Source organism: Homo sapiens, chromosome 10 (genome assembly GCF_000001405.40).
Source record: "Homo sapiens chromosome 10, GRCh38.p14 Primary Assembly".
Classification (NCBI taxonomy): Eukaryota; Metazoa; Chordata; class Mammalia; order Primates; family Hominidae; genus Homo; species Homo sapiens.
The window spans coordinates 133,430,227-133,444,865 of record NC_000010.11 but is presented as its reverse complement, the minus strand read 5'-3'; the positions used below and the strand labels follow the sequence as shown (position 1 = coordinate 133,444,865).

General features: G+C 52.4%; 1 pseudogene, besides 1 other annotated feature; it reads left to right on the top strand.

Moving 5' to 3' along the window:
* Positions 6,973–7,022: an enhancer, noted in NCBI's record as "active region_4252". NCBI's record gives its function as "activates an Ori minimal core promoter by ATAC-STARR-seq in GM12878 lymphoblastoid cells {active_cell/tissue: GM12878}" and the evidence as "EXISTENCE:reporter gene assay evidence [ECO:0000049][PMID:35858748]".
* Positions 13,548–14,472, top strand: OR6L2P (olfactory receptor family 6 subfamily L member 2 pseudogene; annotated as a pseudogene).

Sequence of the window (14,639 nt, the reverse complement as noted above, 5' to 3'; positions counted from 1 at the left end):
ACCAGGTGGGGAGCAGTCAGAGGACCTTGGTGTCCAGGGAGAGGGCTCTGCCCCAGGGCCGTGGTCCTCACGGGTCTAGGTGAGGAGGGCAGAGGGTTCAGGTGCCTTTGCCCCTTTCACAGCCCATGAAAAGGTTTCCTCAATCAACCCTGTGACCCTCACAGTGGCCTGGCCAGAGATCAGGAGGTAGGGGACAATGAGTCAAACTCCAGTCTCAGACCCGACTGCTCTGAGCAGGCAGGCGGAGCCCACCTGTGGGAGACCCTGGGGGACCGGCACCCTCTGCTCTGGGATGTAGGGGCTGGGGGGCATACAGGGATCCCCAGGGGGGCTCATCTTTGCAGCCAGGCTTCTCTGGTTTTGCCTCTTCCAAGCCCTGATCTTGTTGGCCTGAGTGGTCACAGGAGCCCCTGCTTCGTCCAAGAGCAAACTCCAAACTCCCCACCTCAGCACCTCACAGGTGAGGAGATGGGCCGCCAGGTCAGAGCAGAGTGTGTGGGGCAGGGCTGGGACTCAGACCCAGATCCACCACCTAGAAACCACGTCATCCTCTGCACAGGTGACATGCTGGGACTCAAATCCAGATCCACCACCTAGAAACCACGTCATCCTCTGCACAGGTGACATGCTGGGACTCAGACCCAGATCCACCACCTAAAAACCACGTCATCCTCTGCACAGGTGACATGCTGGGACTCAGACCCAGACCCACCACCTAGAAACCACGTCATCCTCTGCACAGGTGACATGCTGGGACTCAGACCCAGACCCACCACCTAGAAACCATGTCATCCTCTGCACAGGTGACATGCTGGGACTCAAACCGAGATCCACCACCTAAAAACCACGTCATCTTCTGCACAGGTGACACGTGAGTGCTTGTGTTCATGAGTGTGCCTGGGTGCACCTGTGTATATCTGTGCACCCACCTGTGTATGTGCCTGTGTATGCCTGTGTCTCGGTGCACCTGTGTATATCTGTGCACCCACCTGTGTATGCACCTGTGTATACCTGTGTCTCGGTGCACCTGTGTATATCTGTGCACCCACCTGTGTATGCACCTGTGTATACCTGTGTGTCTCGATGCACCTGTGTATATCTGTGCACCCACCTGTGTATGTGCCTTTGTGTACCTGTGTCTCAGTGCACCTGTGTATATCTGTGCACCCACCTGTGTATGCACCTGTGTATACCTGTGTCTCGGTGCACCTGTGTATATCTGTGCACCCACCTGTGTATGTGCCTGTGCATGCCTGTGTGTGCCTGTGTGCACCTGTGTCTGTGCTCACCTGCATGTGCACCTGGGCATATCTGAGTGTCTGTGCAGCTGCATGTGTACCTCTGTGTGTCTGTGTATACCTGTGGATACCTGTGTGCACCTGTGGATACCTGTGTGTGCCTGTGTGCTGCCGTGTGTCTGCATGCGCACCTATGTGTGCTTGTGTGTCCCTGTCTGAATGAGCACCTATGTGTGTCTGGGAGTGCCTGTGTGAGCACCTGTGTGTAACTGTGTATGCCACGGCACATCTGCACATGCCTGTGCCTATAACTACATTGGGCAGCGAGCTGTCTGGGGTGTGCTGGTCAACAAGCTTCCCTGAAGCAGGCGGCCATGTGGAGGGACAGCATGTCTGTGGTTTCACATTTGTCCCCGTCATGGCCTTGTCTGTCCACTTGTTTCTGTGGGAAGCACCGGGCCCCAGAGGCCGGGGTGAGTGGTGCCTGCCTGTCTCCTGGGCAGGGGCAGCATGTCTGCATGGATGACTGTGTGCCGGGTCTGGATCTGCTGTGTGCGTGTTTTTGTCTGTCTGCTGGGAGCCTGCTGTCTGCGTGGGGGCCTGTGCTGGCGGCACATGTGTCTGGGTGTGGATGGGTGTAGTTCTGATGCAGGTACCTGGGTGCCCTGTGAGTGAAGCCAAGTGTGGGGTCGGGGCATGTGATTCTGCACTTACGGTAGGTGTGGGGGAGCACATGGGCTGTGTGAGAGCATCTCTGTAGGGCCTGCATGCCAGGCTGTCCGTGGGCACCTCTGTGTAAAGGGCGTGAAGCTCTCCTGCTCCATACTTGGCAGCAGCTGGGGTCCCCCACACCCCACAGCCCCACGGCAGCAGAGCACAGGGTGCTCCACATACCTATGTGACAAGGACTCGAGGACTCCGCTGCAGATCCTGCCTCAAATTCTATCAGATAAGGCAACGCTGGCTGCATCTTCCAGAGAGGGAACCTGGGACCGGAAGAGGCAGAGGGGCACCTCAAGCCCCACAGCTGCTGAGTGGCAGCTCTGAGAGGAAGTCAGTGGTCATGAGTCACAGGAGCCATGGGCAGTGAGGGGCCCAGCTCACCGGGGAGATGGCAGCATCAGAGACGGGGGATGTGCAAAGGTGAGGGCTTCGGCCACACTGGGTCTGACTTCACTAAGATCTGGCCCGAAACCTCCTGGTGCACAGCTTCACGCCACCCCCGACGGACGCCCAAAGCCCCAGAGCGAGCTCATCCATGGGGGACCAGCACAGCGGCCGGCACCGCAGAGACTCCTGACCCCTCCCAATCCACAGGTCCGAGGTCACAAACCAAGGGTGGGTCCGGGATTTGACTTCCAGCCCCTGTCCCAGAGCCCACACTCTGAGGAGCTCTGCTGCCCCCATAGTCTTTTCAGAACAAAACTGCACATTTCTGCTGGCCTCACATAGGCACTGAGCCGGCTGGGGAGGGAAAGGCACAGAGGGTCTGGGCAGCCCAGGCACAGAGGCAGGGGAGGCGGTGGACGAGCAGTGCAGGCTGAGGGTGGGGGCTGCCCTCCCAAGTCCATCCTGCAGGGTTCTTGGTCCAGGGACGTCCTTGGGGAGTGGCAGGGTGGGCAGAGCAGCCGCCCCTCATAGCATCTACTAGCTGGCCAGCCTCCAAGGCCCCCATGGCCCAGGGCTGGAGGGACCCCCCAACACACCGCCTGCCACGCCCCAAGCTCAGCTCTGCGGTGGTTCGTTGTCAGCCGTCCCCGGCCCAAATGCGTTCACAAAATTACCCAGCTTGTTTACCAAACTGGCTGAGCTTCACCTTGAGGTTAAGTGGAGGATGCATGGAGGGCTCACCTGAGGCACTTAGGGTGCAGATAAGCAGGAAAAGCCCAACCACAGTGCACACGAGTAGATTTACTTTAAAACAGGGCGAGGAGGAGGAGAAATAGGAAAATAGGACAAAGGACTCAGGTGGCCAAGAATGTTACCAAACAAAAACCAAGCTGCTGGGTCACCCACTGCCCACCATGACCCAGTCTCCATGGACGGCTGGCCCCCGGCTCTGTTGGGAACCAGTGGGTAAGGGCGGCTGGAACCTGAGCTCACAGCCCCGTCGGACCCTGACCCAGACCCCGACAGACGCTGACCCAGACACCGATGGACCCCGACCCAGACCCCGACAGACGCTGACCCAGACACCGATGGACCCCGACCCAGACCCCGACAGACGCTGACCCAGACACCGATGGACCCCGACCCAGACCCCGACAGACGCTGACCCAGACACCGATGGACCCCGACCCAGACCCCGACAGACGCTGACCCAGACACCGATGGACCCCGACCCAGACCTCCATGGACGCTGACCCAGACACCGATGGACCCCGACCTAGACCCCAATGGACCCCAACCTAGACCCCGATGGACCCAGACCTAGACCCCAATGGACCCCAACCTAGACCCTGATGTACCCTGACCTGGACCCTGATGGACGCTGACCCAGACACTGATGGACCCCAACCCAGACCTCAATGGACGCTGACCCAGACCACAACAGACACTGACCCAGGCACTCATGGACCCTGTCCCAGGCACTGGGGTTCCCCACAGGGATTCACACCCGGTGCCCCATCCTTAGGTCCCTCCCTGCATCCCTCCCTAACCTTCCCCCAGACCATAACATAAGGAGACCCTGGAGAGGCTGAGCCACTCTTCCAGGCAAATATCCTTCAATCCCACTGCAGGGCGGGCATCTGCAGAAGGCCAGGTTCGGAGACCGGACGAGGCTGCCCATGCTGAATACAGCCCAGCATGCAGGGCCGACGGGGGCTACAGCCTTGGCCTCCCGGAGGAATCTGTCCCCTGCTCCTCCTAAGAGGCTGTGAGGAGAGGGAGGGCAGTAGACCAGGTGCAGGAGCCTCCGGTTCCCCTTCGAACGCAGTGGCTCCAGGCTGGCGGAGCTGTGTGGCTCCATGTGTCTTCTATGGTGACCTTCAGGTGTCATGGGGACCCACAGCTGGGAGCTGCTGACACAGCCTGCGTGTAGGTCAGAATCACATGTATCTGCAACAACTGTTTCAGTAATGACTGTCAGTCCTGCTGGCAAGGTTGTAAAAATCTGGGATGTTCACCCTGTGCAGTGGACACTTGCGAGTCCTGAGCTTCACTCTCGGGACCAAAGTAGAAACACACAGAGGCTGAGGCATGAGGCCTCTTTCCACACTCAGGTATTGGCCCGGCCATGTGGCGTGGGCCTCGTGCTGACCGAAAGCCTGCAGGCCGTGGGGCCCCTGCATGCAGAGCTCATAGGCACAGACACACAGTCACAAGGACAGATGCCAGGGCCGTCCAAGCCCAGGGTGACCCGGCTGCCCCGGGGTGGTGCATGGCCTGGGGGTCTCTCTGGGATGCCTTTGTCTGCAGTGGAGACAGGGCAGGAACAGAGGGAGGAAACAGCCAGGTGCTCTGAAAGCAACATGCCGGTGGGGCTGAAGGTAGGGATTTTCAGAAGGTGGCAAAGCCAGCCCTGACCCCAGTAGAACTCTGAAGACAGTGAGCCAGGGAAAGCCAGGGGGGCCAGACTTGGACACACCCAGACCTCCTCTGTGAGCCAGGGAAAGGCAGGGGGCCCGGACTTGGACACACCCAGACCTCTGAGAGCAGAGGGACAGACATCAGGGAATTGCCCGAAGGCCCCCGTACTAAACAGAGAGACCCCAGCCCCACCAGATCCCTAGACGGTAGATGGCAGCCACTGACACCTCCAGGCAGGACCCCGGAAGATGTTCCTCTCAGGAATCTGCGTGATGCTGGCAGGCGAGGCAGGGCCTCCGCCAGCCAGATGACTCTGCCACGGCCTGGTCAGCATTTTGGATCTCTCCAGTGTGGGCTGACAGCCAACAGTCACCAGACATCAGACGAGAGCCCCTAACAGGGGAGATAGACAGAGGCTGAGAGAATGAGAAGAGGCTGGAAGACACGGAGACAGAGGGCGGTGAAATCCGTGAATATCCTCACGGACATCAGAACATGCAGTTTGCACCCTTGAAACAATAGAACACTACGAGAAAAGAAAGGAAAGACAGAGTCAGAGAAAGAAAGACAGATAACCCACAAATTGGAAATAGGATGCCAGAAATAAACTCAAGAAGGACTGGAAGAAATCACTCAGAAAGTTAAACCAAAATGTGATATGGAAAATGGAGATTAAGTATGTTTTACAATTAGCCCAGTAGATCCAATATCTAAGCAGGAGAGAGTTCCACATGTCCAGAGAAAACAACTTACTAATTCAGAGCCTCCCTTTCCTGGAGGACAACAGGATGCGTCTGATCTTCTTAAAAGCAGCCGGGGGTAGATGTGAGTGAGGAGCTGCTGGGCTGGGGGCAGGAGCCAATGGGCACCAGGGAGGCAAGCCCAGCACTCGGGCCCCATGCCAGTTCCTCCAAGTCCTCCCAACACAGTGGCCCTGGAAACCCACATCTATGCCCCCGAGGAATGAGGATAAACCCGACAAGCCCCAGCCCCTGGGTCCAGGACAACCCTGAAGCTTCAGTTGGAACATCAAGTGTAGACTGAATTGAGTCACGTGGTTCTAGACAACTACCGCCACCATGTGTCCAGAAAAAGTAAAAACAAGCAAAAATACTCAAGGTTGCATCAAAGCAAGCTCTCATCAGTCCCTCAAGTAAGTCTCTAAGCACAGTGCTCAGCACACAGCGGAAGATAACCAGGCCTAGAGACGGTGGGAAGAGCAGGCATCAGACACCAACAGACAGACTCGAAACTGCTGCACTTACAAGATCCAAGGAGGCAGAACAAGCAACAAGTCAGAAGGGTATGGAAGGCAGGAACGGCACCGCCACCTTGGCCTAACTGATGTTTACAGAACACTCCATCCAAAAACAGCAGGGTACGCATTCTTTTCAAGTGCACATGCAACATTTACCCCGACAGACCCATATTCTAGGCCGAGAAATGTGTCTCAAACTTAAAAGAATTGAAAGTAATACACAGTAATTTGCAGGGACCAGTCCTACAGGGTCTGTGGGTTTTTCTCCTCATGTGCAGAGACGAGAGATCTTAGAGATAAAGACACAAGACAAAGAGATAGACGAAAAAATAGCTGGGCCCGGGGAACCACTACCACCAAGACATGGAGACCGGTAGTGGCCCCGAATGCCTGGCTGTGCTGTTATTTATTGGATACAAGACAAAGGGGCAGGGTAAGGAGTGTGAGTCACCTCCAATGATTGATAAGGTCACATGAGTCACATGTCCACTGGACAGGTGGCTGAGGCGGAGAGAGAGAGAGGGCAGCTTATGCCATTCTTTCTTCTATGCATTTCAAAGACTTTTAGTATTTTCACTAATTCTGCTACTGCTATCTAGAAGGCAGAGCCAGGTGTACAGGGTGGAACATGAAAGCAGACCAGGAGCGTGACCGCTGAAGCACAGCATCACAGGGAGACGGTCAGGCCTCCGGATGGCTGCAGGTGGGTTTGACTGATGTCAGGCCCTCCACAAGAGGTGGTGGAGTAGAGTCTTCTCCAACTCCTCTGTGGAAAAGGAGACTCCCTTTCCCGGTCTGCTAAGTAACGGGTGCCTTCCCTAGGCACTGACGCTACCACTAGACCAAGGTCAGCCAAGTAACAGTTGTCTTCCCAGACGCTGGTGTTACTGCTAGACCAAGGAGCCCTCTAGTGGCCCTGTCCGGGCGTGACAGAGGCTCACACTCTTGTCTTCTGGTCGCTTCTCACCGTGTCCCCTCAGCTCCTATCTCTGTATGGCCTGGTTTTTCCTAGGTTATAATAGTAGAGCGAGGATTATTATAATATTGGAATAAAGAGTAATTGCTACAAACTAATGATTAATAATATTCATATATCATCATATCTATAATCTATTTCTAGTATAACTATTCTTATTCTATATATTTTCTTCATTACACTGGAATAGCTCGTGCCCTTAGTCTCTTGCCTCAGCACCTGGATGGCTTCTCGCCCACAGTAATTAAAAAGAGAAATCAACAGAAGAAAATGATTTATGGGAAATATTTTGATATTTGGGAAAAATACAGTTCTAAATAACCCATCGTCAAAGAAGAAATCAAAACAGAAGTTAGTAAATGTTTTGAAATGAAAATAAACACAACATATCAAAAAATTACTGGATTTTACTAATGCAGTACTTAGAGGAAAATGTATAGCACCAAACACCTATAAGAAAAGAAAGGTCTTAAATCAGTTACCTCAGTTTCCACCCTAAGAAACTAGAAATGTAATAACAAATTAAGCAGAAAGTGATCAAAATAAATAATAAAGATCAGAGCAGAAATCAATAAAATAGAAAACAAAAATGGCAATAGAGAAAATCAACAAAACCAAAAGCTAGTTCTTTGAAAATATCAATGAAATTGGGGCCAGGTGTGGTGGCTCACACCTGTAATCCCAGCACATTGGGAGGCCAAGGTGGGCAGATCACCTAAGATTAGGAGTTCGAGACCAGCCTGGCCAACACGGTGAAACCCTGTGTCTACTAAAATTACAAAAATGAGCTGGGTGTGGTGGCAGGCACCTGTAATCCCAGCTACTTGGGAGGCTGAGCCAGGAGAATTGCTTGAACCCGGGAGGTTAGCTGTCACTGAGCCGAGATTGCACCACTGCACTCCAGCCTGGAATACAGGGCAAGACTCCATCACAAAACAACAACAACAACAACAACAAACCATCTGATTAGAAATTGCAGAAGCAAAGATAAATTCAAGGCACAGCAGCAGAAACTACCAAAAAATGAAAAAGAGAGAAGAGAATAATGTTTTAAGTGAAACAGAGTATCAGTGACAACTGTTGGATGACTCCAAGCAGATTAATATACATGTAACTGAATCAACAAAGAAGAAGAGAGAGCAAAGATATTTGAAAAACTAATGGCCAAAATTTTTCTAACTTTGAAGGAAACTACAAACTCCTAAGTCCAAGTTGCTCATTGAATCTCAAGATAAGAAACATAAAGAAAACTACACGGAGGCACATCATAATTAAATTGCTCAGTACCAGTGATCAAGGGAAAATCTTAAAAGCAGCCATTGTCTCAAGAGAAGTAATGCAAGCAAGAGAACAGTGGAACCAAAAGTTTTAAAGACTGTAAGAAAAAAAAACTGTCAATCTAGAATTCTGTACACAGGAAAAATATCTTTTTTTTTTTTTTTTTTTTTTTGAGATGGAGACTCGCCCTGTCACCAACGCTGGAGTGCAGTGGCGAGATCTCGGCTCACTGCAACCTCTGCTTCCCGGGTTCAAGATATTCTCCTGCCTCAGCCTCCCGAGTAGCTGGGATTACAGGCGCACACCACCATGCCTGGCTAATTTTTTGTATTTTTAGTAGAGACGGGGTTTCCCCATGTTGGCCAGGCTGGTCTAGAATTCCTGACCTCAGATGATCCACCCACGTCATCCTCCCAAAGTGCTGGGATTACTGGCATGAGCTACCACACCAGGCCAAAAATATCTTTCAAAAACAAAAGTTAAATGAAGAATTGTTCATACATACAAAAGATGAAGGAATATATCATGAGCAGACCAAAAGATGAAGGAATATATCATGAGCATTACAAAAAATATTTAGAGAAACCCTCCAGGTAAAAGGCAAATGATGCCAAGTGGAAATAAGGATCTATAAAAAGAAATAAAGAGCACAATGAATGCCAATAGGAATAAATGCACATCACTTTTCCTTATTATTTAAAAGATAAGTATCTGTATAAACAAAAATAATAACAATTTATCGTGGAATTTATAACACATGAACATAAAATGCATGACCACAGTAGCACAAAGGCCAGTAGGAGAGAAACGGAAGTACACTATTGTACAGCTTGTAAAATATACGTGAAGAAATAACATATCACTTGAAGGTAGAGGATGACAAGTTAAAGGAATACACTAACCCTAAAACAACCACTAAAGTAACAAAAGAAGGAGTTACAGGTCATAGTCAGCAAAGGAGATAAAATGTAATCAGAAAAAGGGAAGTAAAAGATGACAACGGGAACAAAAATCAGACAGGATAAATAGTAAACAAATAGTAATGTGGTAGATAATAAGTGTAATCATATTAGTAATCACATTAAATGTAAATGGTTAAATACCACAAATAAAAGACAGAGATTATCAGACTGAATAAAAATGCAAGACCCAACTATAGGCTGCCTACAAGAAGCACAATTTAAAAAGAAAGACAGAAGTAGGTTTAAAGTAAAATAATGGTAAAAGGTATATCATGCACTATTTAAAGAAAGCTGCAGTTAATATCAGACAAAGTAGATTTTAAAACAACAAATATTACCAGGCATAAAGCAAATCATTGCATAACTATTAAGGGGTTAATTCTTTAGAGGGACAAAATCATCCTAAGTAGGTATGCACCTAATAACCACCTAAAAATACATGAAGCAAAAACAATATAACATCAAGGAGAAAGAGACAAATCCACAATTAGAACCACAGATTTCAATAAAGATTGAACATCACTATTAACCAGCTTACCTGATTGACATCTACAAGATGTGCCACCCAATAACACAAAATGCACATTCTTTTGGGAGAACACAGATCAATTACCAAGATAGACCCATATTCTAGGCCATAAAATAAATCTCAAATTTAAAACAAAGTATGTTCTCTAATCTCAAGGGAATTAAAATAGAAGTGAACAACAGTGAAATGTCTCCAGAAAATCTCTGAACATTTGGAAACTAAATAACACATTTCCAGATCATCTGGAAACTATCTAATAATGGAACAAACAAACCCTGGATATGCCTCAAAAACACTGTGCTGAGCAGAAACTGGAGACGAAAGAGAGGACGTTGTGTGTTCCACTTATATTACATTCTAGAATGAACAAAACCTATGAAGGAAAGAATCTCAGCAGTGGTTGCCTCAAGGTTGAGAGTCAGGGATAAAGTGGGAAAGGGTATGCAGGATGTCTGTGGGGTGACGGAAGTTGGCATCCTGATGCGTCTGGGTTCCAGGCACACACACACATTTATCAAAACCCATCACCTCAACACTAAGCGCATTACTGTGTAAACTGTGCCTCCACAGAGAAATTTAGAAAGGGCTAAAGAATTCCTACAAATCAATAACTAAAAGATGACCCCGTTGGGAGAAATGTACAAAAGACACACAGAAGCAGAAACACACATTGATACCAAATCTGTGGGACAAGCAGGAAAATACGAGTCACCAACACAATGAGACGCTGCTTCTCACCCATTAAAGTGGCCAAGACTGAGAATTCCACGAGACCACCTGCTGGAGAGGGTGGGAGAGCCATAGTAGCTGTGGAGCAGTACAGCCACACTGGGAAAAGAATCTGGTATTTTCTTAGGAGGTTTTGAGTAAAGTTTGACCTCAGCATTCCCATTCTTACGGGTGGATTACAAGAGAAATATTCACACATGACAACCAGGAACCAGGCACAGGAATGTCATCCAGTGCCATTCGCAAGAACAGAGGACTGGGGATCGTTCCAAGTGTCCGTGAACAAAGAATGTGTTATGACTTGCGGTGTAGTCACACCATGGAATATTACACAGGTGTCCGACTGAGTGGAGTGCAGCTGCTGAGAAGAGGGAGAGTCTTGACATGAAAGAGCAAGACCTAGAGGACAGCGCACAGCCCGGGGCTCTGGGTTATGAAGCTTGAATCCAACAAAGCCCCGTGTTTCGGGTCATCAACGTGCTTTCAAGAAAGCAGCCAGAGAATCCCAACGAATGGTCTCTGAGGGTGGGAGAGGGGAGGAGATACGCTCAGGGGTTAGTAATTGTCTATGTCCTGTGCTGAGGGGAGGTTCATGTGCTCTTTGTATTATTTTATAAATAGATGAATAAATGCCATGCATCGAAAAATAAATGAAATGGGTGTTCCAAAGGCAGCCTACTGGGTAGCATTCAGCAGCCCCCACCCTCAAGGGAAGGGCCTCGAGTCTGCGACCTGTCCCAGGTTGGTGTCCCCGGGGTGAGGGCACCGGGAGGGAAGTTTGCATGGAAAGCTCTATTTGCGGCTGAGCAGAGCGTGGGGAGGCCTCCCAGCTCAGCGGGTCCCTCCATGGGCCTGCAGAGCACTTTACAAATCGCTCTGGCAGTCCCATCGGAGTGAAAATTTGCAATGAGAGACTTCCAGGATGGGGAGCAGATAGGGGGTGGGGAGGGCAAGGTCACAAAGGAACCGAATAAGAAACACCAGCGGAGGCAGGTAGAGGCGGGGCCGGGGGAGACGCACCTGCGAGGGAGGCGGGGCCCGCCGTGACCTTGGTCTCCACGCGAAGACCTGGGGGAGGCTGCGCGGATGCACCCAGGGCCCCAGCCCTGAGCCCCAAGGTGCCTCGCTGGCTGGTCCACGTCGCCCGGGGTGCTGTGGGACTGGGGCGGGGTGGACGGGGGCGCTGCAGAGGGTCCTCAGCGCTGAGCCTTCGTCGGCCCAGCCCCTCCCCGCAGCCGCCCACGCTGCACCCAGGGCGGGGCCCATGCATCTCCTGAGGCTGGCCAGTGGCGCCCCCCAGCACTCCGTCCTCGCCCCCGCCATGGGTAGGGGTCTCTGAAGTCGCCTCACCAGGTGGGCCTGGAGCAGCCGCCAGCTCAGACCCCCGAGCGCCGGTGAGGGAGGGGTGGTAGAAGGCTGGGTCAAGGGTCACCCAGGAATTCCACTTGTCCACGGGGACCCGGCCGCTGCCCAGGCGCAGACAGACCCAGAGGCAGAGTGCGAGGTAGGGGTCTGGGGCTTACATCCCCCGAGAGGGGCGGGGACCTCCCAGAGGAGCTGCTGCACAGGCCTGCGGAGCTCCTTCTCCCACCACTGTCCCAGCTCACCCTCCAACCCCCATCCTGCCCTCAGACACCCAACTGCAGGCAAGTCCAGGAACCAGAACCCCACGCCACACAGACCCATTGGAGGCTCTGAGTGGACAGCTCCCGCCCTTCCCTCGTCCGCCCCTTTGCTGGCTCAGAAAGTACAAGATAAAGATGTCAGGACCTAAAAGGTGGGGAGGAGCCTCCCTCCCCTCTGCAAAACCCCTGGAAGCTTTGTTCACCCGTACAGGGTGCCCCTGGCCCCTGGGGGCCAGCAGGGTTGAGGTCCAGGAAGGGCCCCAAGGCACACAGCCCCGAGAAGGCACGCCAGGCAGAATGGGTCTTCCCTTGCGCTGTGTGTACATCTGGGGGTGTGCACTTGGGTGCATGTGTGTGCACCAGGGTGTGTGTGCAGCTGGGGAGGGACGTGCACTGAGTGTATATGTGTGCACCTGGCCACGTACCTGTGTGTTGGGGCAGGGAAGATTATGCACCTCAGGGCGTATAAGTGTAAGAGGGGGTATACCTGATCATATGAGTGTGTACAGGTCCCAAGGCCCCTTGGCCAGGCGTTAGCTCTGGGTAAGTGGGCATGTTGGGCTGAGAGGTGGGGATGACAGATAAGTATTGCAGCAGGTCCCAAAGGTGCATGGTGGGACAGTCTGTGAGCCTGAGCCCCTGCCCTAAGATCCCAGGAGGGCTTACAGTGCTCTTACCTAGCTCTCACCAGTGGAGCAGGGCTGTGACCCCATCACACACCACAGCCTAGTCTCCCCACTGTTCTGGAGTGCTGAGAAGTGACTTGCCTGACCAGGAGGGCCACGTACAATTCCAGCAATACTGTGGTGACAGAGTTTGTCTTTCTGAGCTTCCCAGAGCTGCCTGACCAGGAGGGCCACGTACAATTCCAGCAATACTGTGGTGACAGAGTTTGTCTTTCTGAGCTTCCCAGAGCTGCCTGACCAGGAGGGCCACGTACAATTCCAGCAATACTGTGGTGACAGAGTTTGTCTTTCTGAGCTTCCCAGAGCTGCCTGACCAGGAGGGCCACGTACAATTCCAGCAATACTGTGGTGACAGAGTTTGTCTTTCTGAGCTTCCCAGAGCTGCCTGACCAGGAGGGCCACGTACAATTCCAGCAATACTGTGGTGACAGAGTTTGTCTTTCTGGGCTTCCCAGAGCTGCCTGACCAGGAGGGCCACGTACAATTCCAGCAATACTGTGGTGACAGAGTTTGTCTTTCTGAGCTTCCCAGAGCTGCCTGACCAGGAGGGCCACGTACAATTCCAGCAATACTGTGGTGACAGAGTTTGTCTTTCTGGGCTTCCCAGAGCTGCCTGACCAGGAGGGCCACGTACAATTCCAGCAATACTGTGGTGACAGAGTTTGTCTTTCTGGGCTTCCCAGAGCTGCCTGACCAGGAGGGCCACGTACAATTCCAGCAATACTGTGGTGACAGAGTTTGTCTTTCTGGGCTTCCCAGAGCTGCCTGACCAGGAGGGCCACATACAATTCCAGCAATACTGTGGTGACAGAGTTTGTCTTTCTGAGCTTCCCAGAGCTGCGCCATCTTCAAGGGCTGCTATTTGGTCACTCCTCATCATCTATGTGGTGACCATCCTAGAGGACCTGGCTGTCGTGGGGACCATCAGAGCCAGCCACCACCTGCACATATCCACACACCTCTTCCTGGCCAAACTCTCGGTGCTGGAGACCCTGTACACCTCGGTCACCGTCCCAAAGCTGTTGGCCGGACTCCCAGCACGAGCGACGACCATCTATCTCCTTCTCGGGGCACCTCACCTGGCTGCTCCTCTTCCTCTCACTCAGCTCCTCTGAGTGCATCCTCCCGGCCAACATGGACTGTGACTGGCACCCGGTCATCTGCCACCTGCTGCACTACCCAGCCCATCATGGACTCCATGCAGCTGGCTCTGCCTGCACCTGGCCATCAGCGCCCAGCTCAGCAGCTTCCCAGCCTCCTTTGTGTCCACGGCTCTCAACTCCAGCCTGAGGCTCCGCAGCCCCGATGTCCTCAACCACTTCTGTGATATCCCACCCCCGCTAGGGCTCTCTTGCTCCAGCACCACTACCATAGAAATGCGGACTCAGGCAGCCCAGGTGATCCTTGCGGCTTCCCTGCAGGCAACCACGGTCTCCTACACCCACATCCTGGCCAGATCGCTGAGGATTCCAGAAAGGCCCAGCAGCTAAAGGCCTTCCCCACCTATGCCTCCCACCTGGGGTGGCGGCTCCTCTAACCTCATCAAGCTGGTGTCAGGGGTCTACTTGGTTGGGATCCCTCTGCTCAAACCCATCATCTACTGCCTGGGAACTGCAACATCAGGGAGGCCCTGGCCAAACTCCTCCAGGCCCTTCCCCTTTAGAGCTGCAGGAGGGAGAGCTGCCCAATCCCTCTTCCTCCTTCTCTGTGCTCACAGACACTGGTGACCACCCAAGGCAGCCACAGCCCTCTCCCACCAGGGCAGTCAGCAAGTCCTGCCCTCGCCCATATCACCCAGAGTTGCCAAGAGCACAGAGTGGCCACAGG